This window comes from Homo sapiens, chromosome 11 (assembly GCF_000001405.40).
Source record: "Homo sapiens chromosome 11, GRCh38.p14 Primary Assembly".
NCBI classification, from domain to species: domain Eukaryota; kingdom Metazoa; phylum Chordata; class Mammalia; order Primates; family Hominidae; genus Homo; species Homo sapiens.
Window position 1 is genome coordinate 13,433,174 of NC_000011.10, and position 24,812 is coordinate 13,457,985.

Sequence of the window (24,812 nt, forward strand, 5' to 3'; positions counted from 1 at the left end):
CTCTTTTCATGGCTCCTTTTTCTCTCCAAGGCAGGCCTTAGAAACTAAAAATACATTCTACTCTTCCCCTGCCTTCCTGTAATGGAGCTGACCATAAAGAAATCCCCTGACCTACTTTGCTTATAGGCCATAGGCCCCTCATTTCAGAAGGTGTCCTGTCCCATACCCTGGAGTTTGAGTGTGTTTTTTTTCCACTGACAATACTCCTATCCATTTGAATTAGTCAGACCTCAATAAAGAAGCAATATTTTAAATCCTATTTTTATTCTGGGAGAAAAAATTAGCTGATTTTTTTACTATTCTAACAAATACCAGATCCTCTGTTTCGGTTTTTTAAACTAAAGCTTTTAAATGACTTTATATTAATATATTTTTGAAGCAACTGATTTGCTTTTTATAAGCATCGTTAATGTGTTAAGTCAGGATTTGGCAAACTATGGCTCATGGGCCAAATTCTACCCATTGCCTGATTTTGTAAATAAAGTATTATTGGAACACAGCCATGTCTATTCATGATTACTGTTCATGGCTGTTTTCATGCTACAATGACAAAGTTGAGTGGTTAGGACAGAGACTGTGGCCCACATAGCCAAAAATATTCACTATCCAGCCCTATACAGAAAAAGTTTGCTGACCCCTGTATTAAATGTCAACAACTATAATATAAAAAATGCTATCAAACTTCTAAATAGATTTAATAACAATTTATCTCTCATTTCCTTTTTTTGGTCAATTAGCCTTCTATAAACTTTCTGCTCTTCTGCTTAATATATGGTCAGTTTCCCAAGGAATAAATGCTTAATTATGGAAAAGGGAAGTTCTCAACTGAAGAATTAGTTAAATTCTCAAAGATCACCTGTAAGTCTGTTGTCGGATATATTTTTCCCATAAAAATATTTTAAATGATACTTAAATCCCAGATTACCCCCACAAAGACAACTTCAGCAATAAATATGTATAGCCTAAAAATAGTTTTAATACTATTTCTAAATCCTGACATCTTTCTCTTCTTCCTAAAATCCCATTGCAGCAGCAGCAGCAGCGCCTAAGAGTATCTTTTCAAATTTCAACTGAAGTCACATGAAGACCCAGATACTAACATATGGTGATAAATGTTATAAGGAAAAATAAAGGTAATAAAAAAAGAGTGCCACCGCTTTGAATGGTCAAAGTAGAACTCTCTGAGGGGGAAGTGTCTAAACAAAGACCTAAAAACGTAAGAAATAGAACTATGAAATATAGAAGGGAATAGTAAATGCAAAGGCCCTGTGGTAAGAGTTATCCTTGGCTTTTTCAAGACATTCAAGAAGCCCAGGGTTGCTGGAGCACAGAAAATAAGAACAACCATGTTAAAAAGGTAGAGCTTAGTTAGGCAAGACTAGAACAAGATTATGACAGGCATTGAAGGAATGTTTAAAGGGTTTTGGCTTTTGTTTGAGTGAAATGGGTAGCACTGAAGTGTGAATTAAATGACGTAATTTACATTTTAACAGGATCACTCTAGCTGCAAAGCAAACAATGGGAGAATGGGAGAAAGGAGACAAAGGTAAAACCAGGAGACCATTTCAGATGTTACTGTAAATAATCAGGCGAAAGCTGAAAGTGACTTGGACCAGTGTTATGGCAGAGTTACGTGGTAGAGTGGACTAGACTATATATTTTGAAGAATATGCCTCTGAAATTTACTGATGGATGAAATGTAGGAGGTGAGAGAAAAAGAAGAGTTAAGGATGACTCCATGATTTTGTCCTGAGCAACTGGAAGAATGGAAGTTCCATTTACTGAATGCAAGTGAAAGTGAAAGGACTAGGTTTAGAAATGTAGGTATATCTTAGACATGTTAAAAGTGAGATGCTTATTACACATCTGTGTATATGTAAGTCTGTGTATACTTATGGATACATAAGTCTAAAGTTCAGGGGAAAAGTCTAGGCTAGAAATACAAATTTCGGAGTTGGCAGTCACTACATACTTAGTATTCTCAGCAACTTCCTAGCATGAAAAATTTTTTAAAAATAGCTAGCCACTATTAAAAATTGTTCAAAGCTAAATTAATGGTTGCACAGGTTTATTGTGTATCTACTGAATAGTCATTCATTCAACAAATATTTACTAAATAACTACACTGTGCCAGTTACTGTTCTTGGTACTGTTAATGATTGAGAACAATATTATAATGCATACACAACCAATATTTTTCAAGCAATGCTTTTAAAAAATATAATTTTTTTAAACTTTTGGAGTATAAAAGATATGAAGTACAAATACAAGACTCAGTTTTTAAAATATTTATCAAATGATTGTGAATATTTTAATAAATTACTTTCACAAGACAGATTTTGATAGTCTCGCTCTGTCGCCCAGGCTGGAGTGCAGTGGCGCACTCTCGGCTCACTGCAACCTCCACCTCCCAGGTTCAGGCAATTCTCCTGCCTCAGACTCCCAAGTAGCTGGGACTACAGGTGCCTGCCACCACACCTGGCTAATTTTTTGTATTTTTAGTAGAGATGGGTTTCACCATGTTGGCCAGGCTGATCTTGAACTCCTGACCTTGTGATCTGCCTGCCTCGGCCTCCCAAAGTGCTGGAATTACAGGCGTGAGCCACCACGCCCGGCCACAAAACAGATTTCTAAAGACAAATCACAGCCATCCCACAATCACTCCTTCCAAATGACCTTTGAAAACACAACCTTTTTCTATTAAATTCTCCCCACTATGCCTTTTATTCAATCCTAAGTATCAAAAATAAAAATCTATACTGTAATTAGACTGATGAAATTAAAGACTAAAATGATTTCTATCAGAGGCCCTTTGATGTTATTGTAATTCAGTATGTCTAACTATCCTAAGAAATATCCACAGAAACACAGAACCTAAGTTTAGGAAAAACTGTTTAGAAAATCTAGTCCAAACATGTATCTAATTCCTGAATCTTCATCTACAAAGTGTCCTCGAATTGGCTGACCTACTGCTAATGACAGGGAAGGGGAACTTTTCCCTTTAAAAGTTTCATTCTAGCCTTGGAAAGTTCTGACTCTTAGGCTGTTTTTCCTTCACATTAAGGCTTAAACCTTTTTACCTAACCCAAGTTCAGGGTTTTGGGCCAGGTAATTCTTTGTTGTAAAAAGGCTGTTGTTTGCATTGTAGAATGTTTAGCAGCATCCCTAGCCTCCATCCACCAGTATGCTAGTACTTCCTCCAGCTCCCCAACCAAAATGTCCCTAGACATTGCCAACACCCACTAGAAGACATAATCATCTGGGCTGAAAACCACTGCCTTAGTTCTACCTGCTGGGACCAAATAACAACAACAACAATGCGAACACTTGGGCATTTAGAACAATACTGAGCACCTTAATCCTCAAAACCACCCCAATTTTACAGCTGAGAAAATGGAAACTTAGCGGCTAAGCAAGGTGCCTGAAATCATATAGTTAATTAAGTGCTGGATCTGAACCAAGGGGTTCAATTTCAGAGCTCATGCTCCTAACTTCAAACAAGTCTGACTCAAACCATGTCTAATTACTTTTCAAAGGAAAAGTCTTAAAATATCTGAAGATAGCTCTTATTATGACATTCCTTAATATCCAACCAGAGCTGTCACAAGATTTCTCTGTTTTTTTTTGAGAAAGAGTCTCACTCTGTCATCCAGACTGGAGTGCAGTGGCGTGATCTCTGCTCACTGCAACCTCTGCCTCCTGGGTTCAAGCAATTCTCGTGCCTCAGCCTCTCAACATAGCTGGGATTACAGGCGTGCACCAACATGCCCAGCTAATTTTTGTAATTTTAGTAGAGACAGGGTTTCACCATGTTGTCCAGGCTGGTCTCAAACTCCTGGCCTCAAGCAACCCGCACGCCTCAGCTTCCCCAAGTGCTGGGATTACAGGCGTGAGACATCACGCCCAGCCCAAGATTTCTCTTAAATTCTTAGTTCCTTAAACTGGCAACATACCCAACTTTTTCACATCCTTCCTCTTGAATATTCACAGAACTAAAAATAACAATACTTTGGTATTCAGCAGTTACTCTACTCTTCCATTAATTGAAATGGATTTTTTAGGGGAGGGGTGAGGAAGAAGATGGGAAGCCATATGATACTTTTGTCTTATATCTAGTTTACTGCCAACAGCCACCCTCAGGTCTTTTTCATATGTGATGCTGTAGAGCGATGCTACCTTAATGTATCCTGGTGTTTTTTAGGCCTTACATATATACTCCCAAAAAGTTCATCTAAACTTAGTACAACAACTCAGCCTCAAAAATTATTTTGGAACATTTAGTATATTACCCAAAGCAAAGAACAAAGCCACCTTTCAAGATCAATGAATCTCTGGATGGGATCATTTAAAGTCAGAATTGTGTAAATTAATTATCACAATCAGCTGGTAGCTAACTTATTGTTCCCCCACTTTACTCTCAAGGATATCAAAATGACTTTACCAAAAGCTAAGCTTAAGTCCAAATATATTATAGCGTTGCTAGTCTACTAACTGCATCAGAGAAAAATCTAAGTTGGTCTGGCAATCTAATTTTAACAAACCTATCCCTAATCATTTTTAAACTGTTTTTCTTCAAGTCAGTCATAAATGAGTCCTTTCCATTTTTAATTCCAAAATCTCCTACCTGCTTCAAAATCAAGCCCAGAATCTCCCATCTTTTAGCAGTTCTTTTATTCTCAGAAAACCTTCAAAGATCACAAATAATAACAATAATTTTAAGGTGTTGCATGCAGTTCCTTTTATAAGATGTTTTAAATGGCCCAGAAGACAACTCATTTAATCAGATGAATTCTTTACCTCTATACTCATATTGGCCTTCATGTCCTTCCTATCAATGTTTGTCTTATTTCTATTTCTGTTAGAGGTGGTAGTGGTTTCCTCTTCCACTTTGACAAAGAAGCTTCAAGAGCTAGATTTTTCCCTCTCATTGTCATGCATTATTATTATACTTTCCTTGATTATTATTCTTACATTAAATGTAATATAAGAAACCTTTTTTGGTGGTCTTGACATTTTTCTGAAGTCTCAGTTCATCTGAGCTCTAGTTTTCCTGATTTTTTGTTTATTTTTTATACTTTATGATGGTTATCTTAGCTATTTGCTTTGCTTTAAAAGTAATGTGTATGTCTTTAAAGGGTTCACTGTGTAATCACACTGAAGATCTTTCTCTGTCAGAAAAATAATCAATATTACATTTTTACTTAACTCCTTAAGACATTCTTTCTTTTTGGAGATATTTATGCTGTGAAATCATGCTGATCTTTTCTCTGATCAGTTATCAGAAAAATGCGGATTGGTGAAATAAATTACAAAATATGTATGTACAAAACACTATGTAATCCTTTAAAATTATGCAATAGAAGATCACTTCATGACTAAAGGATGTTCATAATTAAATTTCTTTTTTTTCAAGGATAGGTTACATAACAGCACTACAGTAATGCCTTTTTAAGTGCATATGTGTTATTTTAGATTTTTATATATACACAGAAAAAACAGGTTATATGCCAAAATATTTATTTTTCTTTTTATAATAGAAAAACTTATTTTCATTTTCTTCTATATGTTTTTCTGGGCTTACCAAATTTACCTAATGAGTATGTACCATTTTCACAATAAGACAGACATTATTATCTTAAAAGAATCAGCACAACCTGGGGAAAGTATCCTATAAAGTATAAGATTAAAAGGTCTAGCTTGAGATTCTGCTTTTATAACTCTATTTAATAAGCTGACAAAAACATTTCTGGACCCTAAACCACAAAAAAAGTCAATACAAGATACCACGAACAGAACTATATAAATAAGTCATGACAACCATAAGATGACCATTCAAACTTTTAGAAATTAAATGGGGGAAATTAAAAGAACTTCCTGACACTTCAAGGAAAGAATGTTATAAACCATATAAATACATTAAAAACAAAGTAAATGTAAAATGCTGTATATCCCAAATGTCCAAAAAAATTAAGGATCAGCAGGATAAGGGTAATAAAGAGAGAAGGAAAAAAACCATTAGTCAAAATGTTTTAAATTGTTGTAAAATTTCCTAATAAAGTGAGCAATATCACCTGTTAAGATTTAAAATCTCACAGGAAAAACCATTATCCTTATTTAGAAATTTTGTCTGGTTGAAAATTTATACTCACTAATCCAAAACCTCAGTGGCAGTAGTTAGATCATCTATTCAGTTTCTGGGTTCTTTGACTTGAAAGAAAGTCACTTTAACCAATTAGAGCTTTATCATTTAAGTACATTCAGTTCTGTAAAGTACTATATATAAATGGTTCAGTTAATCCTTAGTTCATTCAAATGTAAAAATATATTCAATTCCTTCTTTAGAAAATTTCAATTATTTCATTTATCTTGAATTTTATTTTCAAATAAATCAAAAATATTATTGCAAAATTACTCTCTCCTTAAATAAATTTTTAATGATATTCATAAAAAACAGTACCAAACACAATGCATTCTCAAGTTACTTGAAATAAAACACAAAGCATCAAACCCACGAAAACAATAAAAACATATTTCATTTATTTTAAGTAACTTGCCATTAAACTGAAAATCAGACATATGATCTTTATCTTTAGTCATGTAAATGATCATAATGAAACAAAGGTCACACATATCCCTCTCAATCTTTCTTTCAAATTCATATATGTAAATAATTATAACCCAGAGATATCATGTAATAAATGAATACACACCTTCCTTTAGTATATGCCAAGGTAGACACACAAAAACAAGAAAAAAATTTTGAAATCAGAGTATAAAGGGACTCTGCTCTTTCAAACAATGAAGCACTGAAAGCCAGGTCAGCATCCTTGGGCATTACTAGGAAACTTTAGCACATCTGATATTTCCATCATCTTCAAGATTCCTCTGAACAATCAGAAAATTCCCCAGTCTCCCCCTACCTCACCTGTCCATAGACTTCCTTTAGCTTCCTCCCTCTACTGTGTAATAATGCTGTTGCAATATTTAGGCTTTAAATATTCAGAGATACAACCCCCTCTACATATTAATTCAGTTTATTTTCTCACAGACACTGACTCAGCCGTGGGTTGTGCAGCACTGACGTTTCTAACAAAACAGCATCGTGTGAGCTGTGATCGTCCCATTTCTCCATCTCTGAGCAGTGATTGGATATTGTAATTGATAGACAGGCATAACAAAACGCAGGAGTTGAGGGCTTAGAGATATGTAGATATGTTGCCAAATGCCATCTGTAAAGCTAATTCTAGCTCTGCCAGCTTGCCAGGGTTTAGAAAACTGGGATACAGCTAACTTTCTTTTTCCTTTCAAAATTTTATTGTGTATCCATTCTGGGCAGTAAAGCTCTTTAAAATCAAAGAGAAAATATTATTGTACTTAATTAAGAATCCACTCAAGAACTATTCTTTAAAGCAACCAAACTTTTGCATTTCTAAACTGCTGCTAGGGCTATGAAGTGACTTAAAAGGGAAACTGGAATGTTCAGACTTTATGCAGTCTCAGGAGAAACGAGCATGCGTACTTCCATGTGGGAATGAAACCTTGCGGCATAGTCTATACTGAATGTATGATGCATTTATCTTTAGTAACCTGAGTGGACTGCAGACCTGAGTTTTATATGGTCATATTCCACCCAATTCAAATATTTAAGAGCTTTTAGTGTATCATCTATCTAGACATTTTAACCTTCTTATACAGAAAAAGTGCTTTTCTTTTTCTTTTTTAAATAGCAAAAGCTCCTCTAATTCATAATTTAAAAAGAAGTTGTCACAAATTCAGGCCAAATACATTTCAACTGAAATGATCTTTAACATCTTCAGCAGGCTACCAAACTGTTCTATATGGATATCATACAAGTATATAACTATGCAACTCTATATATAACTATACAACTACTCACCCAGAAACAAGTTGAGCAACTTATAAACAAATTCAGTAATTTTTAAACTAATTTTAAACCAATTCAGTAAATTTTAAACAAATTCAATCATATAGACCTGCTGAGAGATCATAGGCACCCTAAAAGTCCATCCATGTTCAGACTAGTTTCTTTAACTGTAAACAAATTTTTAAAAGAGATATACATCTACATTCAAAAGAAAGTTTAAAAAAGAAAGCACCTTTTACTGAATATTCCCAACACAAAAAAAGATAAATATTTGAGATGATGGACATGCTACTTACTCTGATACGATCACTATATGATACACATATCACTAGGTACCCCATAAATATACACAATTATGTGCCAATTTTTAAAATTTTTTAATCTTTTGAAAAAAGAAGGAAAATGATCAGAAATAAAATATAATAATTAAATGATTTTTTAAAGTACCTAAAGTTGTTTAGATAGAACAGAAACCATAAGGCAATGCTCTCAAACTCTCAAACCTTAATGGTAAATACACATTAGATAGTAACTGTTGCTGTTACTTTTATAAATCAAATAATTTATTTTTATCCTAGCCAGCAAGGAAAAGTGGGGAAAAAAATCAAAAGTACAAGACGAGAAAAAGTCAGGCTATTCCAAAACATAAATAGAACAAAACAAAACACAAAATTTCAACAAGACAAAATTTAGATTAGCTATAAAAACTAAACAATAAAGTATGCTTATTTCCTTACGTTTATAGATTTAAATCCCCAACTGTTCAAGGTGACAATGTGCCCAATTTAAAAACCATATTTCTCAGTCTCCCTGATCCAGAGATGGCCATATGACATGATTCTAGCCAATGACTGGTTTATAAGCAGATATCTGCTGGAAATTTCTGAGAAATTTAATTTCCTGATATAAATGAAGCCCTTTTCCATTTTTTCCTTCTTGTCTAGAAAGTGAAAATGATATCTGGAACTACAATATCCACCTTGTGATAATGAGAGGAAAGCCAAGAAAATAAGAGATTTCTGACCCTAACATCCTTAAGCCACTAAACATGCACCCGCCATTGCCTATCTCTGGATTTCTTATTTAAAAGAATAATAAACCCCTAACATCAGCCAGTGTTTAGTCTTGTTTTCTTTTACTCAAACATACCTAAATAAAATACACAATATTCAAAAAAGGAATGAGAGTAGGAGAGGCATGATGAAACAAAATCAGCCATGAGTTGGTAACTTCAAGCTGGGTGATGAATACCAGGGGTTCATTACATCTGTTCTATTTTGCATGTATTTAAAATATACCATAATAAATTATGTAAAATTTGAAAAAGAAAACAATGAGAAACTTGTTTATAAATCCCAGCTCTGCTATTTACAAGTTGGATGGTCCTGGGCAAGTTTACTCATTTCGTTTTTTTTCATTTGCCACATGGGAACAATAATACTATCCACAGAGCTCCAACTTCAGATCCAGTCAAGGTAATCTGAAGATCCATGCCAGAAATGTCCTCCATCTACCTAATACTCTAATCATCCAGGATTACCTCAAGTCTCATTTTCACCTACTCAAGCTGATAATTATTCTTTCTCTGAACTCTTATTTTATAACTCATTACCATAGTTTAAGTGCCTTATTGTCCTCTAATAGTTCCATGCGTGGATACTAAACTATTCCATAACAGTGCACTTTTGAATCTCTCCTGAACTGAAGGCAAGTTCTCATTAATACTTGCTATTACTTTTTAAAACCTCTCAGCCAATTAATTTACTATGAATTCAAAAAGTAACACTTTTAAAAAGTCAAATCATACTTTTTAAGTGTCCTAAGTTATATGTTCCTAAGCATATGGGACAGGAGGTCTCTAAAAGTTCTTCCTTGGGCAGATTTTCCATGAATGAGGCTAAAATAAACTCATTTAACAGACTTCATAGTCTTTGCATTAAAAAAAAATCAATTCACTGGTATTTATTTTCTATTTTACTTTAATGTTTTTCACTCAAATAACCCTAAATACTGCTGCAGTCTACCTAAAAAGAGCTCCAATTAGCTGAGTGTGGTGGTAGCGGTGCATGCCTGTAGTCCTAGGTACTCCAGAGGCTGAGGAGGGAGGATTGCTTAAGCCTAGGAAGCAGAGGTTGCAGTAAGTTGAGATGGTGCCACTGCGCTCCAGCCTGACAGAGTGAGAACCCATTTCAAAAAAAAAAAAGAATAAAAACAGCACTAAAAAGTTACTGATGTTACAGCTATCAAGAAGAGCTTTGAGTATTTGTTACTGACAATGAAACAACAATAATGAAAAATGCACTGTTCATTTTTATTAATTTTTCCCACTGTATGTATGTAGCTTTTATAAAATAATGGCTTATTTTCTCCCTTGTCACCTCTTCATTATATAGTGCAGTATTATACCTTAGCAATCTGTTTTTCAGCAGAAAAACAGCAAGAACTAGGATGAATACTATATAATTCACTTGAAAAAAATACACATATATATAACATAGTAGATATAAATACAGCCCCACATTTAATGTGATAAAACCAATACTTTTTTTTTTTTGAGACAGCGTCTCACTCTGTCACCCAGGCTGGAATGCAGTGGCCTACTGTAACCTCCACCTACCAGGTTCAAGGAATTCTCGTGCCTCAACCTCCCAAGCAGCTGGAATTACAGGTGCATGCCACCATTCCCGGCTAATTTTTGTATTTTTAGTACAGACAGGGTTTTGTCACGTTGGCCAGGCTGGTCTCAAACTCCTGACCTCAAGTGATCTGCCTGCCTCGGCCTCCCAAAGTGTTGGGATTACAGACATGAACCACCACACCTGGCAAAACCAACATATCTTTAATCTAAATGACAAAATAATATCCATGAAATAGAGAAAAAGAACAAAAGCCCCAGTTTGGATGCTGACACACACACACACAGAATGAACAAACATAAAAAACCAAAAAAACACTCATACAATTTGGCATGGACTTATAAATTATTAAAAAGTCAACTTAATATTAACATTTTAGACCTCATAACATTAAAAGTCCACAATAAAAGTGAACATATTATCAGGAGACTTAAAAAGTACCAATCACTCAAATTTTCTAGCTATAGTATATAAAGTACCTGAACTATTTCTTTAAAATCACAAAAACGATTTCATTATCACAATATTATGGCTTTTTTTTTTCAAGAAAGCTGGTATTTGTTATCAGTGGTAAGAAGAAATTTATATTCAAGTAAGTTAAATGCTCAATAATATCCCCTAAGTAATATTCATAGAAGATATTGCTTTATGAAAACATGCTTACATACCTGTAATATGTGAGGTTTCTGAGTTGTCAATTAACATCTTAAAATTTCAGATCAAAGTGTACAAAATGAGGCATTCCTCATTAAGTTACACAGCAGAAAATGAAAGTTTTAAAAATAATAGATAGATGGCCTGAAACTTGAAATGAATTTTATTTCACGCAGCAAACTTTAAATAAACCAGTAGAGTCATTCCAGAAAGATTAATTTTTCTCATTAATGAGAAGGATGACAACACAATATAAACTCAGATAGTTAAAAACGTATGAAGCAAACACTGACATAAATCTATATATTATCCTGTGTAAGGTATACAATGTATTTAGAGCACAAAATAAATTCCTATTAGAGAGTTTTAAACACAAAGAACTAACCTGTCATGTGAGAGTCCCCAATTAAGTAAATTATAGCATTTATTCATGGGGTCAACTAGGGAGATTTTCACCATCTTTAGAGACAGAAATAAATATTCAAATACAAATATTAAAAAATTAAAAAGAAATGTTTCTCCAAAAGTTATCTATGGAGACAGATAAACATTCACAACGTTTTGTAAAACAGCCCCCATTCTCTGACAGGAATTGCCACAACCAAATGCAGTAGTATTCTTTACAATCAGTTTTTAGCAGAGCTTTCATATGCGAAATACATATTTTCTACCTACCTTGAATGTTTATAAAGTTTACGAGGTCTACTATGCAATTTCCGATCCCAATTCTCTGGATCACTGGAGTTACCATCATAGGGATGAGGCCGTCCTGCCATCCCACTCCAAGCTTCCTCACACTACTGCTCTGAAAGCACACATGTAGCACCCATAACCTACATAAAAGAGCAGTGTTGACCTTTAAATCTATTCCACGCAGAATAAAATAGTCATAGAATTGTACAGACTTGATATTATTGTGACATATTTTTAAAGTGATGAATAGATTATAAAATACTAACCATACAAATGCCACAAATCAAATTAAAATAAACACCAGGGGTCTTCTTAAGTACTTTTCATTTGATTTGTCTATTAAATCTGCTACCACTATGTAACAGTTTAATAATGTGCTCTTTATATTTAGTAAATATACTTAAACAACTACTGTATAGGTACCTCATGTATCCAAATATCATTATGGTACCAAAAAGGCAAAAACAATTCCACAGAATGATTATTTTAGACACAATTTCACTTGGAACATATTTCCTAATTACTAAAAGTTTAAGATGCTTAGGAAAGCATGTAGTAAAACCAAATAACCAATGTTATTATTTCTTTAATGATTATTCCTTTAACGAAGTTAAAAACTCTGAATAGAAATTTAATTTTTACTCAAAAATAAATGTACGTAAGCATTCTGATGTTTCCTTATAGTGCAATAACCATAAAAATGTTTTATCAATGCAATTCATATACTTTATGCCTTTTCACATGTGAGGCTTGTAACTGCTATTTCTACTATAGTCAAATGAAATGATAAGGAAACTCACTTAACAACAGCTTTACAGAATATCTGAGCTAAACACTTTTAAACCACATTCACTATCCAATTTAATGTTCACAATCACCTTGCAAGGTAGGCATTATGATCCCCATATACAGAATAGAAAGCCTCAGAATTTTAGTAACTTTGCCAAAGATCACAATGCTGCTAAATGGTATTATAAAGAACAAGGATAATTCACTATATAGAATAAAATCTTGATCTCGAAAAATGCTGAGACTAAAGTATTTGTTTGGAAATAGATGATTTGACTTTCAGAAATTGCAGACACCAAAAGAGAAACCAAATGAAGTTAAACAATTTAAACAAAGCTATACAATTTGGACTGGAACTCAGGTTTCCTGACACCCACTCCTGTATACCTTCTATATACTTTTCCAAGCTGGATTTGATGGTGGGAGGTGAGGTAGAGTTGTACATAAAAGTCAAAGGGAAATTCCAAAACTGGGAAAATACTATACTTTCCTGAGTTTTACACAGTATTGCAGTACAAGTTCACAAAGAATGCCAAAGATAAACTCATTAAAATTGTGTTCATATCAAAAATCAGTAGAAAATACATTTTCATTTTAGAGAAACAATTTTACTATAATTTTTTTCTCATAGTACCTTCTTTCTAAAAACAGCTGAAAATTTTATAATAAATGAGCATTTAATATAATAAATACATAAATAAGTAGGTAGATCCATGAGTGAAATAAAAATAAAAGTGGGGGAAAGGAAGAACTGCTGATTCAAATTCTTCCTTTGAATCTATGACTGATGCAAATTCCTGAGCAAATGCCACATAGTTTATTTGCTGAATGCTCCTGGAAAAGGAAGCCTATTTCCTATTTGTTATTTCCTTAAGAATGACTGTATCATAAATCAATCAGGTATTAGATGACTATAAAAACCATGAATTATTTTGAACATAAAAATATGTCAATGTCATCTGAATTTTAGATTATAAAAATAAAAATGTATTCATTACAAAAAAACTTATAAAAAACCTCAATTTTACTTTATGACTAGTTATCTGTACTGAAGAGATGAGGTCAAAGAGAAGAAAATGGGGAGAATGAACAAATCGGAGAAGCAAAGGAGAAAGAAAAAAAGTAGTCACCAAAAGAGATGCAAAAGGTATAAAGATAGTAGAAAGAAACAATGTGAGAAAATAAAGATGTAGAGATTTGGCAGATTCTGTAGAATGAGATTTAGAACAATTTTTCCTTACTCTACATATCCTCAAGTATAAACTATTTCAGGGATTAACCTTTCTTTCTCTTCTTTTCTTTCTTCTTTCTCTTTATCTCTCCTCTTCTTTTTCTTTTTCTTTCTCTCTTTCTTTGAACTCTAGGCCTCAAGTGATCCTCCCACCTCAGCCTCCCAAAGTGGTAGGATTACAGGCATGAGCCATGGCACCCAGCCGTTTCTTTCGAGACAGGGTCTCAATCTGTCACCCAGAGTGGAGTACAATGGTGCAATCATAACTCACTGCAGTCTCCAACTCCTGGGCTCAAATGATCCTCCCACTTCAGCCTCCAGAATATCTGGGAATACAGACTAACATATCTTTGAAGAGCATTTTATCTCTTCCTTTTCCTTAACTATCAGATACTCTTCTGAATAGGATAGCCACAGATGTCCACTGAGGGAAGAATGATCCTAAACCATGGGTGGCAGTGACCAAAAAGCTAACTACAAGGAATAGATAAGCAAGGCAAATTCAGATTCAGATTTTCTACCACTATTACACTGGTTGGTAAACAGGTGGCAGGAGCGAAATTCCCATGTGTTTTCCTAATCAATCCTATTTAATCAGCATGTATTTCACAGCAAGCCATAAGAAAGTAATGAATGTTCAGATAAAGGTGCTCAAAAATCAGCTGAAAAATCATATTCACATTTCATTTGTCAATAAAACTTAGGTATTACCACATGAAAGATTTTTCCCCAGCCCTCACATCCAGTAGTCATAGGGTTACAAGCACACTAAAAAATAAGCGGAATTCAAATTGAGATGTTTGGAAAAACTATGCCTATGTTTGCCTACACAAACATAACGTGTTTTATGTTTGTGTAAAATACACAAAAATGCTAGTGTTTTTAAATTTTATCAATAAGCTAAGTTATAACTGTAAATGGTTGAAAGGCCACTGGCACATATTATATACTATTTTGTAATATCTGATAATCTCTTCAGTTTTAACCATCCTCTGTGCCATTCTCAGTGACAGTATATTTGTCGGATTTCATTCATTCATTCAAGCACTTATAAGCATTTACTACAATATGCCAATATGCAAGGTGCTGAAGTAAGTTAGACATTATTCCTGTACTCAAAAAACTCATCTTAGAAAGGGGAAAAAAGACACCTCTCATGATTCCATATCCTGTATCTCTCTCCCACCTGGAGCACTTCTATTCAAGTTGTACTGTTGCCTCATCCTTCACCCTCATTAAATCTTGGTGTTTATTAGGATTCCATCTTCCTCTCTTCTCTACTTGCTGGTTTGAGAGAGACAGCAAACAAAATAGAAATGAGGACCAAACCCTTGCAAATATCAGGATTTATACACTACATAGAATCTATGTTTGCATTATCACTATCTGAATTATTTAACAGGCACCCCAACTTCAATAGTCAGTCTCATCATCTTGGCCTCTCACATCAATTAATGTCATTTCTATTCATCAAGCTAAAAACTTTGAAGTCATCCTTGACTTCTTTTTCATTTCCCCACACCAAGTCTACTTTAGAATCTTCTTTTGACTCCTTCTCTCCCTTTCATTCATACGAGTGCTGCCTTTATTTAAGCCCTTATCATCTATCAGTAAAAATGTTGGCTGACCTCCTTACCACCATTCAATTCCTTACTAGCTTTGCTGTAATCAGAACGGCCTTCCTAAAAACTGAATGGCTCCTCGTTTCCTATATCTAAACTCCTTACTATAAAAAGGTCCTTCAGAATCTGGCACTTGAATCCCCAATGTCCAGAAAAACTAAAGTTTATTGTTGTTTGGATCTTGTAATCATCAAAAAATAATTACCAGACAACCGAAAATAAAATTCCTGGAAAATATGTCACTATTCATTACTATGTTTAGGCATGATAGAAATAAATTTAAATTCAAAATAATCTAGAAATCATCTGTACAGAGGCTGGAACCACTGGGCCTGTTGGCTAGGGGCAGGCATTCAGGAGACTGCCAAAAGTTAACTGAGAAAAAGATGATGCAATTATTTCCCCTTCTCTTGGACATTCTGTCTAAACAGGAGGTGGGGGTTGGGGGATAGGCAGAATCTTCAAGACTATAGTAACAAAATAAATAATTGCTCCTCGGGACACTATTTCCAGGTAGTATCAATTAATGGTAATGATAAATGGAAGAACAAAACAAAACAAAACAAAGACAATGCACAGTGTATGGAGACCACTTATTCTATTTTCACTATCGAAGTTCTAGGAAGTTTATATATTTTCTCCTACTTAAACCTTAAAACAACTCTATATTATTATCCTGTTTCATATATGAGGAAATCTTAAGAGATAAGATTAAAACCCCAGTCTAACAAAAAGCCCATGTTATTTCCAATGCACCAAGCAAGGTATATAAAAATTGGTACTTTTTTCAAGTCCAAAAGAGTTTAAAGGGAAAAAAAAAAAGAATTGATATTTTTGCTTATTACCAACAATGTGCCTTTTAAACCTCAGCCATCTTGTGGCTTCATCCAGCCTACTAAAATCTTACTCTTAGTCCATTTTCTGTTGCTGTAACAGAATATCTGACACTGCGTAGTTTATAATGAACAGGAATTTATTTAGCTCATGGTTCTGGAGGCTGGAAAGTCCAAAAGCATGTCAGTAGCATGAGGCAAGGGCCTTCATGCTGTGTCATCTATGATAGAAGGTAGAAAGGCAAGAGAACTTGGGTGAGAGAAAACACTAAGGGCTGGGCTCACTTTTATAATAACCAGCTCTCTTGATAACTGACCAACTCCTGAAATTAACTACATTAATCCATTTATTAGGGCTCCACCCTCATGACTCAATCAGCATTTATTAGGCCCTTCCCAGCACTTTTACAATGGGGATAAAGTTTCCAACACATGGATTTTTGGGGACACAGTCAAACCATAGCACACTCTAAATAGTGTCATTACACAACAGCTTTTCTATTAATGTAAAATTATTTTTATCTCTCAAACTTTGTAGACAAAATATTTCAAGTGTAGCCATTACTAGAAAGACCTGATAGATAAGAGAGGGGGAATAGTGAAGAGGATAGAATTACATAGTGATCCCAGAATCAGACGACAAGGGCTGCCTTCAGCTACAGAGGTCCAAATATCCAAATATATGGATGGTAAAGACTGACCAGGAGGAAGCCAAGACGACACCTGAGACAGTTAAATGTCCTAAGATGACATTCTCTATGTGGAAAGGACCAAAAGGAGGAGAGAGAGCCCCAAAGAGCAAATTAATCACTTGATACTGGCAGACAAAAGAGTAAATACCTGAATGTTCACAAAGTTAATTTTGTACTAACGACAAAGAAGGCCTTCAGAGGGGCCTACATGGAGGAAGAATTCTAAGGGCCAGAAACTGAAAGATCACTTGATGAGCTTCTATCCTTAGGAATAAAAGAGAGACTGTATCACTAAAAACACAGAAAATGTATGATATGGATATAACCACCATGAAAATGTTTATAATTTCCTCTTGATTGCTAATCTACTCTAAATTCTCCCATGGAGTGTAACATAAATCCAAAAATTAATTGACAGAGAACTGAACAGTCATTTTTAGCAACATCAAGAACTGAAAGAGCTTGAGGGATTGCAAACTATCACAGATAATAATGTAGGACAAAGAACAGGTGGAAGCAACTTTTAAAAGAAAAGGAGATCAGACAGACGGAAAGAAACTTCTCGCAAACACAGCCAGGTGAAGTGATCATGCACACCTCCAACAGAAAGCAATTATTTAAATCTAGGTATACTATAAAAAACAACTATTTAAAAGCACTTGAAAGTGTCCAAAAGCAGACAGTAGTGAAAGAAGAGCTTACTCTTGAAAAACTACAACTAGAAGCAACAGAATCACGAGTTCAGTTTGAAGTTTTTTTGCTGAGTGGCCTCCCCATCCCTCACAAATATGGTGAAGGAAACCAGGCAGCCACACAGCTCAAAGTGGCAGAGAAAACCTCAGAGCTGAAATTTCAGGTAGATGTAGTGGAAGTGAAAGAAACAAAGAAAAGTGCAGGCCCAAAATCTGAGCATAAACTCTGCTCAAATCCCTGGCTGATAGCTAAAATACACATGTACGGGAGGTAGGGGAGGGACATCAGGTAGCCTGGCAGAAAAAGCAGGCAGAGACCATAGAGAACTCTGCCCTTGAAAGCTGCATGGCATGAGACATGATTTTGATGCTTTCTAAGCTGAATGTATTCCCCAACTGTATACACCTCCAGCAGCAGAAAGCTGAATCCCTTACTGGTTAGGGTATCAGAGGACAAAGACCACCACTAGCAGGTAAAGATTAAGAGGGAATTCCCAGAAGTAAAGAACCCACAGAGAGGGTGAATTCCAAAATGTGAGTACAATCTCTGCCCAAATTCTTGGCTGACCACCAAATTACAGGTGCAGAAAAGCCTTCCCTTTGCCCTGACCCCCAGGAAAACAAGCTAAAAAAGTAAGTAGTTGGAAGAAGTAAGAAATAAGCACAGATGGCAGCTGCTATACACTTCAGGGGAAACAAGTTTGCAGTTTGAATCCAAGCAAGTTAACATTCTCTAAAACAATAACAAAACAACAACAACAAGTCCTCATAAAAATATTACAATGTCCAGGTTTCAACCAAAAATTATAAGACATGCAAAAAATTAAAACAGTAAAAGGCAGAAAACAGAAACTGACTCCAAGTTGGCCCAGATGTTAGATTTAGCAAACAAAGACTTCAAAGCACCTATTATAAATATATTCAAACAATTAAAGAAAAAGCCTATACAAAGAACTAAAAGAAGAGCACTGTCTTGACGACTGACACAAAGGGCATCTCAGTAGAGAGGTGCCAACTGTCAAAAGAAATGGAAATTCAGCTCTAGCTGAAAAGAACAATAACTAGAATGAAAAATTAGATGGGTACAATGGCATATGGAGATAACAAAAAAAACCATCAGGGAACTTGGAAAACAGATCAATAGAAACTACCCAATCCATAGAATAAAGAGCAAGAAAGATTGAAGAAAATTGAAAAGAGATTCAGAGACAGGAGGGACAGTATCTAATAATAAAGGTAGGTAAGTTATTGAATACACACAAAACATGAATGAATCTTAAAAGCATTAGATAAGTGAAAGAAGCCAGACTCAAAGGTTACATACCATATGATTTCATATGTATGAAAGACAAAACTATAAAGACAAAACTATAAAGACAGAGAACAGATCAGCCAGGAGTTAAGGCTGAAGTGATTACACAGGGACAGCACAAAGTAATTTTGGTGAGTGATGAACTATTCTGTACCTTAATTGTGGTAGTGGTAAACACCTGTATGCTTTTATCAAAACTGACAGAACTGTATATCAGAAAGAAATAATTTTATTGCATTTAAATTTTAAAAGAAAAAATCAGCAATGATTTTAATTAATACATAAAAGCAGCATCAAATATATCAGCAAGGCATAATGAAACCACTTTTTGATCAAAAACCCCAATCACACTGTCTCATTACCATAGCAAGCATACTTAATAGCCATCCTTCCACTGCCACAAACGACATACATAAACTTTTGATAAGGAAAACTGGTGAGTTTTCATTTCTACTTCTGCCACAACAGTGAGTAATGAAGACGTTTTAGAATCAGAAAAAAACCTGTATAACTGTGTAAAAGTTTATTAACATTCAAGACCGCAATTTCCTTAAACGTGAAATGAAGAAAATAACACAATTCTCATTATTTAATCTATTATTATTTTAACCATCAAACTGTTAGACAGGATACCTTATATAACACAGTGCTAGGCACAATGCTTACTGTCTTTAGTAGGCAACCTAATATAAATTTTGTGTATATTTTATTAGTTCATTCATGACTAAAAGTTTTAAGATTTTGCTCAGCCCTTGTTTAATTATACATGGTATAATTACACATGGTATAACTACACTAATACACACATATATACATAATGAATACATCTCCTTTCTCTCCCTGACATGATACACAGTATTATTTGTCCTAGAAAAAATCTAGAACCAATCTAAATGTTCATCTAGTTTATCGGTTAAAACTCTGCACAATATATCATGCAACCAGTAAAAATAAGATATATAGATACAGATACAGAAAATATTTCAAAATATATTGTTAAGCTAAAAAGCAAGACACAGATATGCATTATGTAATCCCATATTTACACACAAGAAAAACAAAAACAAAAAAACAGAAAAAAGAAAATTTAAAAATTAAATACACATACACACACACACTCATCCATGCTTGTATATGTTAAGATAAAATGTCTAGAAATATCACATAAAATTAAAACTAGTTGCCTCTGAGAAAATGCTGGAATAAGGAGACTTACTTTTTGTTGTATCCCTTCATACTACTTGAATTTTCTACATATTATTTTCAAAATGATAATATTGAGGAAGGTTTATTAAAAAGTGTTTGGAGGTGATAGTGCTATAGAAATTTTCTTCCTTGTTTAATTTTACTGCTTAAGTGTAGTTTTGTAAATTTTTTTGGATTGCTTAAATATAGTCACTACATATGCATTGATAGAATATGTTTCTGCCACATGTACCCCATTAGACTATAAGATCCTTGAGGGCAAGAACAAAGTATGATTCAGGTTTGTGTCCCCACAGCCTAGCACAATTTGTATGTAAGCTTTTACAAAATGTTAACTACATTAAGAAGAAAGAGGCTGGGTGCGGTGGCTCACACCTGTAATCCCAGCACTTTGGGAGGCCGAGGCAGGTGGATCACGAGGTCAGAAGTTCAAGACCAGCCTGATCAACATGGTGAAACCCCACTGGTACTAAAAATATAAAAATTAGCCAGGCGTGTTGGCGGGCACCTGTAATCCCAGCTACTCAGGAAGCTGAGGCAGAAGAATCGCTTGAACCTGGGAGGTGGAGGTTGCAGTGAGCCAAGATCGCGCCACTGCACTCCAGCCTGGGCAACAGAGCAAGACTCCATCTCAAAAACAAAAACAAAAAAAGAAGAAGAAAGAAACTGAAGGACATTTCACTTAATATAATTTACTAGTGCAGAGGAAATAAGAATTACAAAGATTTATAAGCAGTCTTTAACTTTTAGTTGTCTTAAAAGAATACTGTCATATACCTGTACTCATGTTTTAGTTATTGCAAAGAGCACCAATCATGTGACTCTCACTCTCAAATAAGCAAAAATTATAACAATTCAATTTCTAATGCTCTCAGGAAATACATATCAAGATAGTGGGGATAAAAGACAGAAAATATCACATCCCTGAAAACATTTTTCAAGCTATTACCAAACAAGCCCTAAGTTTCCCCAAAACATTCCTCAAAGATGTGCCTATTTAAATCTCACAGAAGCCCTTTCAATTGTTAAGGCTTGACCTTTTCTGATTTGTTACAGTTAAAACAAGACAAGCTTAGCTGAGAACTTTATTCAGGATATTTTTATAACCAATTGAATTGTAAGTATCTAATTTCACCATATAAAATTAAAGTGGCCAGGTATGGTGGCATGCACCTATAATCCCACCTACTTGGTAGGCTGAGACAGGAGGATTGCTTGAACCCAAGAGTTCAAGGCAAGCCTGGGTAACATAATGAGACCCCCAGGTCTAAAAATAAAAAAATAAATTAAATAAAAATTTTAAAATTAAAAAGATTTTTAAAAATAAAATAAAATTTATTTATTCTTTCATTCAAAATTTATTTATTGAGTACTTAAGCACCTTTCAGGCATTTTGATAACTGCTAGGGAGACTCTAACAAACAGATTTAATAAAACTGCATGGTATTTCCATTAAAAGTAGGATCTGTTGTTTATTTATTTATTTGTATTTAATTATTTATGTATTTAGAGACGGAGCTTTGCTCTTGTTACCCAGGCTGGGGTGCAATGATGCAATCTCAGCTCACTGCAACCTCTGCCTCCCGGGTTCAAGCAATTCTCCTTCCTCAGCCTCCCAAGTAGCTGGGATTACAGGCGTGTGCCACCACACCTGGCTAATTTTGTATTCTTTTTAGTAGAGACAGGGTTTCACCATGTTGTTCAGGCTGGTCTCGAACTCCTGACCTCAAGTGATCTGCCTGCCTTGGCCTCCCAAAGTGCTGGGATTATAGGCATGAGCCACTGCGCCCAGCCCTGTTGTCCACTTAAAGGGTGATCTCTAATTCACCAAGATGTTAAGACTTCCAAAGTCAGCTCAGTCAACCCTTAATGTTCCAGAGGTGATTTGGATATAAAATCTTTGTGCTAATTGATTTTATCACTTTTATAGAATTTCTATTCAAATTTTGCTGACTTCTTAATTAACACATTAACACTTCAATAAATGAAGTGTTATTCATTTGTTTCTTTCCCATCACAAACAGCTCAATAAATGTTTGAAAATCTTTCCATATTTTAAGCATTTACAAAGTACCTACATTACATGATTAGCATTGTTAAGTAACTAGACACTGTTTAGTTTATAGGCTACCTTCTTAAAACTCAAAAGGCATATTTTTTTAATATCCTAAAGAAATAACAATGTTTTAATTTTCTACTATGACCAAAAAGTGTTGACTTCAAAACCAGAAACACCTTAGTTGAAGCAAACCATCTTGACATAATATCAATTAATACAGGCAATGCTCCTGAAGCTGATGCCTAAATCAAAGGAGATTATGGTCAACTCCTAAGAAGCAACACCCTTTAAACAAAGTCAGACAATATTTTAAACAATATTTTTTCCTTCCATGATGCTTTATGTTTTTTCATATAACCTTTATTATGCTGTTCCATTTTGACCTATTCATTATTCCCCTTACCTTCCATTCCTTTCCGATTTTTGTCTATCAGCCATCAATTCAACAGGCTAGTAAAGGCTCTATTAAATATGATTCAAGTTCTAGACTGTAGCACTCACTGCTCAGCGCGACTTTCCATTATCACAACAGTGTGATAATGGAAATGTTCTACGTCTGCACTGTCCGAAAAGTTTAAGGAATCTAAAATTTGCCCTGAGACAAAACACTTGCTCACAAAGAAACATTTTACACATCTTTGTGTCTTGGTACTATAGGTAGCATTCCACTTTAATAAAATTAAAAATGTTGTTATATTCAAAGATCTTTGAATTAAGGTTCATTTCAATAATTGAAAGTCTGTGGTGCATGAATAGACAAACCAACCAATAGAAGAGAATTAAAGGCCCAGAAACAGAGCCCTAAAACATAAAGAACTTCAATATATGATGAAGTGATAGCTCAAGTCATCGAGAAAAGACAGACACTAATAAATGGTATTGGGACAACTGAATAAACATTCAGGAAAACATGAAACTGAATTCGTACCTCATACCACATACAAGGATATACTCCAAATGAAATCAACTATCTAAATGTAAAAACTGGAATCATACAAATACTAGAAAAATTATGGGTGATTTCACTGACAACCGGGAAGGAGAGAAAGCCTTTCCTATTTGCCTACGAAAAACACCACTACTTGCAAAAAGCACAGAAAAAAATAAAGTTTTAAAAACAAGTAATTTTTTTAAAAGGGCTAATTTCATAGTATATAAAGAGTTCCTTAAAGAAGGAAAGAAAAAGACAATTTCTCTTCTCCAAAACAGACAATGCACAAAGAAATGGGCAATCCTCAGAAAAATAAAGGCAAATGGCCTTAAACATAAAAATATGTTCAACCTCACTCATAAAAGAAATGCAAATTAACACCTCCAATTTTGGCCATATACTCTGTTGGTGAAGCTGTGGAGAAGCAGTCTCAATACTGGCATACACTGCCAATGAAAAGTACAAATGAGGGTCTGGCGCAGTGACTCACGCCTATAATCCTAGCATTTTGGGAAGCTGAGGTGGACAGATCACTTGAGCCTAGGAGTTTGAGACCAGCCTGGGCAACATGGTGAAACCCTATCTCTACTAAAAGATACAAAAATTAGCCAAGCATGGTGGCACATGCCTGTAGTCCCAGCTACTTGGGAGGCTGAGGTGGGAGGATCACTTAAGCCTGAGAGGTGAAGGCTGCAGTGAGCGGTGATCATGCCACTGCACTCCAGCCTAGGTGACAGAGTGAGACCCTGTCTCAAAAAAAATTAAATAAATAAATAAATAAAATAAAAAGAAAAACACAGATTATATAACCCTGGTAGAAAGGAATTCTGTAATATCCAACAATACTACACATACACTTACTAGTCCTACTTCAAAGATGATACAACTCCACTAATATTCCATAAAATATTTGTAAATATATTCACTGTGGCATTATTTGTAATGGTAAAAGACTAAAACAATCGGAATGTGCATCAAAAGGAGTTAACTGAATAAACTACATGCATCCACACAATAGAATAACGGATTAATATCCAAAATACATCGTTAGGTTAAACAGCAACAGCAAAAAACAGGTAGGTACAGAACAAGCAGTATTCATTGTACTACCTTTTGTAACATAAAGGGTAAACTTAAAAATATGTACATATATTCAAAGACAAATACACATGTATTTATTTTTGTAAAGAAAACAACTCAAAGTATAAAAAAGACATTAATCAAAATGGTTACCTATATGGGCAGAGTAGGACTGGGGTGAAGGTAATAGGGATGTAATCAAGACTTCTGAGTTCTCTTTCGATATACTTTAGATATTTGAACCACATAATGACTTACATACTCCAAATAAATTAATAAGGGGTGTATGTAATATTCATATGTGTATGTATGTATCTGTGTACACACATATATTTCTGACTGGAAGCAATTATCACTGAGTCATGGGATTATGGTACCATTTTCTTCTTTGCCCTTTGCTAAATGTTCCCAGTTGCATGTAATACCCATTACTTTTACAGTCAGAAAGAAATTACTCCAAATAAATCTATTTTTATAGGAAATTTTTCAAACTACTC

General features: G+C 34.5%; 1 protein-coding gene across 15 annotated transcripts in view; it reads right to left on the minus strand.

The window, feature by feature from the left end:
- Positions 1–24,812, minus strand: part of BTBD10 (BTB domain containing 10) — a 75,215-nt gene that overhangs the window by 45,166 nt on the left and 5,237 nt on the right. For 7 of the 15 annotated variants that reach the window (XM_024448713.2, XM_024448712.2, NM_032320.7 and 4 more), the window contains exon 2: positions 11,851–12,008. The exons of 5 other annotated variants lie outside the window; for them this stretch is intronic. In XM_024448713.2, the coding sequence (XP_024304481.1) occupies positions 11,851–11,951 (101 nt within the window). In that variant the 5' untranslated portion in view covers positions 11,952–12,008. Of the gene's footprint in view, positions 1–6,710; positions 7,083–11,850; positions 12,009–24,812 lie in introns of those variants that run through there. 3 more of the 15 variants (NM_001297742.2, XM_017018405.2, XM_047427696.1) reach the window with 1 other exon arrangement.